The following is a 4313-nucleotide window of genomic DNA, read 5'->3' as shown; positions in this document are numbered from 1 at the left end:
CCCATCACTTTCAGGTACACCAATCAGACGTAGATTTGGTCTCTTCACATAGTCCCATATTTCTTGGAGGCTTTGCTCATTTCTTTTTATTCTTTTTTCTCTAAACTTCCCTTCTTGCTTCATTTCATTCATTTCATCTTCCATCGCTGATACCCTTTCTTCCAGTTGATCGCATCAGCTCCTGAGGCTTCTGCATTCTTCACGTAGTTCTCGAGCCTTGGTTTTCAGCTCCATCAGCTCCTTTAAGCACTTCTCTGTATTGGTTATTCTAGTTTTACATTCTTCTAAATTTTTTTCAAAGTTTTCAACTTCTTTGCCTTTGGTTTGAGTGTCCTCCCATAGCTCAGAGTAATTTGATTGTCTGAAGCCTTCTTCTCTCAGCTCGTCAAAGTCATTCTCCATCCAGCTTTGTTCCGTTGCTGGTGAGGAACTGAGTTCCTTTGGAGGAGGAGAGGCGCTCTGCTTTTTAGAGTTTCCAGTTTTTCTGTTCTGTTTTTTCCCCATCTTTGTGGTTTTATCTACTTTTGGTCTTTGATGATGGTGATGTACAGATGGGTTTTCGGTGTGGATGTCCTTTCTGTTTGTTAGTTTTCCTTCTAACAGACAGGACCCTCAGCTGCAGGTCTGTTGGAATACCCTGCAGTGTGAGGTGTCAGTGTGCCCCTGCTGGGGGGTGCCTCCCAGTTAGGCTGCTCCAGGGTCAGGGGTCAGGGACCCACTTGAGGAGGCAGTCTGCCGGTTCTCAGATCTCCAGCTGCGTGCTGGGAGAACCACTGCTCTCTTCAAAGCTGTCAGACAGGGACACTTAAGTCTGCAGAGGTTACTGCTGTCTTTTTGTTTGTCTGTGCCCTGCCCCCAGAGGTGGAGCCTACAGAGGCAGGCAGGCCTCCTTGAGCTGTGGTGGGCTCCACCCAGTTCGAGCTTCCTGGCTGCTTTGTTTACCTAATCAAGCCTGGGCAATGGCGGGCGCCCCTCCCCCAGCCTGGCTGCCGCCTTGCAGTTTGATCTCAGACTGCTGTGCTAGCAATCAGCGAGACTCCGTGGGCGTAGGACCCTCCGAGCCAGGTGCGGGATGTAATCTCGTGGTGCGCCGTTTTTTAAGCCCGTCGGAAAAGCGCAGTATTCGGGTGGGAGTGACCCGATTTTCCAGGTGCCGTCTGTCACCCCTTTCTTTGACTTGGAAAGGGAACTCCCTGACCCCTCGCGCTTCCCAGGTGAGGCAATGCCTCGCCCTGCTTCGGCTCGTCCACGATGCGCGCACCCACTGGCCTGCGCCCACTGTCTGGCACTCCCTAGTGAGAGAAACCCGGTACCTCAGATGGAAATGCAGAAATCACCCGTCTTCTGCGTCGCTCACGCTGGGAGCTGTAGACCGGAGCTGTTCCTATTCGGCCATCTTGGCTCTCCCTTAGTGTAAGTAGATTTTCTGATGCTTAACTGTATTTGCATTTCTAAGATATATCTGACTTAGCTTGCATTTTAATTAATTTTTGCATCTATATTCATAAGCTAGAATTTCTTCAGCAGGCTTTAGTTTTGATCGTCTTTTCTTGTACTTCCTTTTAGATCAAGCTATAGTAGCCTTAAAAAACAAGTTGAGTAGCTTTTATTTTTTTCTAGATTTTGAGTTTATTAAAAATGAAATAAGGATGATTGGTTTCCTTAGTTGGATTGAAATGTTTGACCATAAAATTATGTGGGACAGATACATTTTCATGATGTGAATGGGTGAAGAGGGGGTGGTGAAAATCATATTATTGGTTCATTTTCTTTAATGGTTATGATAAGCTGAAGAATAACACTCCATTTTATCCACATCCTAATACACAGAACCTGTGAATGTTACTCGATATGGCAAAGGGGGCTTTGCAAATATGGTTTAGTTAAGGTATTGAGATGGGAAGGTTATTCTGGATTATTGAGGTGTGCCCTAAGTGTAATCACAAGTGTCTTATAAGGAGGAAAAGGTTGATTTGCCTACAGAGGAGCAGGTGATATGATGATAAAAATGTTGTGCCGTTGAAAGGGACAGGCAATCAGCCACGAAACACAGGCCTCCAGGAGCTAAAAAAGACAGGAAAATGATTGTCCTCTAGAGTCCCCAGAAGGTATCAGCCCTGCCAACACCTTCCCTTTATCCCTGTGAAACTGATTTCAGACACCTGGCCTCCAGAACTGCAAGATGTTAAACCTGTGTTGCTTTAAGACAACAAGTTTGGGTTGATTTGTTGCCGTGGCAACAGAAAACTAATGCAATAGTTTTTGGTATATTGTTTATCTGTGTTTTCCATTTATAGTTTATAAAATTTTGGTCAATTGTATTTGCCTTGAAAATTATCCCTTTCATCTCTGCTTTTGTGTTATTTATTAGCATTAGGCTTTGAAAGTTGTCAGATTCAAAATGGAGTCACTTGTATCAGACCTTGGCAGATGGAGCTGGGGAAAGCCGTGAAGTGGGGAGTGTCATGCACCATTTGCCTGATAACAGGAGCTATCACAAGGGATTTTCCCAAATCGCAGCTCACTACATGAGTCACAGGAGGACAGCCAGCCGCTTAGACAAGAACACTTGCATGACACAGTGTCTCACAGGCGCAGTGCAAAACTACAAAGCCCTAACCCTAACACTAGGATAACGGGCCCACCCAGTGACTGCTCACTCTGGCCAGTCAGCACTTGCCAGCCCTTAGAAATCACTGCCAGAGCCAACGAACTTTCTTTCCAAACAATCTGGGTGACCTCCTCTTTCCCAAATAAACCCTAACCTTTTCCTTTGTCCTCTGCACCTACCAGAGACCACCCTGATCTGTATGGATGTCCTGGATTGTAATCCTACTTCTTGTATATTGTTCTAAATAAAACCTTTTTACTTAGGGATCCATCTGTATATACTTTTATGTCGACAGGACTTTCCTAGATAATTGTTTTGTGATGTTTACATCATTCATTTGGTCTTCTTCTCCTGGTTAAGGCAGACTCCCCAATATGCTCGCAGATCCCCTAGAGCCAAACCCAGGGGCAGCCCAAATCCAGGTAGCTTCAGGCTGTCACGTAGCTTTTGGCTTCTGCTCTCCTGCTTTTCAGGCCTCCTTGTACTGAGCCTAGGGCTGCCTTTGCTTTAGACCTTCAGCTTGCTCCATGTGCACCTGACCCAGAGAAGTCACATCAAAGCCTCGTTTACTTGCCGTGCCACAAGAAGCCCCCGAACACTGCACTATTTCCTTTTCTGGTTTTGCCGCTTCTCTACTTTGCATCACTGTTGAGTGCACTGGCTGAGACCAGGGCTAGACGGGAGCATCTGAGCTGAAACACAGCTCTTCCCCCAGGTACTTCTGTGACTCAGTAAGTAAAGTCACCTCCTCATGCCTCTGTTTCCTCAGCTATAAATAAAAATAGAAATAGTATCCCCCTCATGATGGGTGGAGAAGATGCAAAAAGATTTGTGAAGTGCTTCACAGAGTGTGGCTCACAAGAGCTCATTACGTTTCTTGTAAAATTGTTACTACCATTGAGATGAATTACCTTGTCCATTGAATGCCAAGCTTCCAAAGCAGATCATAACTGCCACTGAGATGAATTACTTAGCCCAAAGAAACCAAGCTTCCAAAACAGATCGTAACTACCATTGAGATGAATTACTTTGCCCATTGAACAACAAGCTTCCAAAGCAGAAAAGTCCTCACGTGCTTGGTGTTCAGCGTCAGCCCATGCTCCTTGCCCTGCCTGCATCCTCACGATGGTCGCCCTCACCTTGCCTCCTCTTTCCAAGGTCCAGGCTCTGTCACCTCTGTCTGGATGCCTCAGCACTGTCCTACTGGTCGCTCAGAATCTGACTCCAGATATGCACCCTCCCTGCCAGTCCACTCCGATTTTTCCTGTGAGCCTTTGCCTGGTCCATCTCCCTGGAGGTAGCCCTCAATGTTCCAGGAGCAATAGTCAAGCCTGCAGGATGGTCCCAGTCTCATAGGGCTGGCAGCAGTCACCCACCTGCGCCCCCTTAACAGTGCCAGTGCTTCCTGAACATCCAAACTGGCACCTGACTTGTCCTCCCAAATTTACCAACAAGCTATTGGTCACAGTGGGAAGACAGGCTAATTTATCTCACGGTTTTTCTAATACTCAAACTATTCCTCTTTCTGAAGTAACCATCCTCAGTTTCCCATTGTTCATCAAAACCTTCATCCATCCTTCTCTGAAACCTCTTCCTGACCAAGGGCCCCCTGTTTTAGCTGATTTATAACATGCCTGCTTTCAGGATGCCAAGCTTTTCGGCCCATTTTCCTGACCTTTACTCTGACTCCAGTCTCTGGGGG

General features: G+C 46.4%; 2 annotated features.

Moving 5' to 3' along the window:
- Positions 469-1075: an enhancer, noted in NCBI's record as "OCT4-NANOG-H3K27ac-H3K4me1 hESC enhancer chr5:4615875-4616481 (GRCh37/hg19 assembly coordinates)". NCBI's record gives its function as "activates a minimal SCP1, AML or CMV promoter by ChIP-STARR-seq in primed H9 embryonic stem cells {active_cell/tissue: H9 hESC(primed)}" and the evidence as "EXISTENCE:reporter gene assay evidence [ECO:0000049][PMID:30033119]".
- Positions 1076-1682: an enhancer, noted in NCBI's record as "OCT4-NANOG-H3K27ac-H3K4me1 hESC enhancer chr5:4615268-4615874 (GRCh37/hg19 assembly coordinates)". NCBI's record gives its function as "activates a minimal SCP1, AML or CMV promoter by ChIP-STARR-seq in primed H9 embryonic stem cells {active_cell/tissue: H9 hESC(primed)}" and the evidence as "EXISTENCE:reporter gene assay evidence [ECO:0000049][PMID:30033119]".

This window comes from Homo sapiens, chromosome 5 (genome assembly GCF_000001405.40).
Source record: "Homo sapiens chromosome 5, GRCh38.p14 Primary Assembly".
NCBI classification, from domain to species: Eukaryota; Metazoa; Chordata; class Mammalia; order Primates; family Hominidae; genus Homo; species Homo sapiens.
The sequence above is the reverse complement of the archived record's forward strand: the minus strand, read 5'-3'. Positions and strand labels throughout refer to the sequence as shown.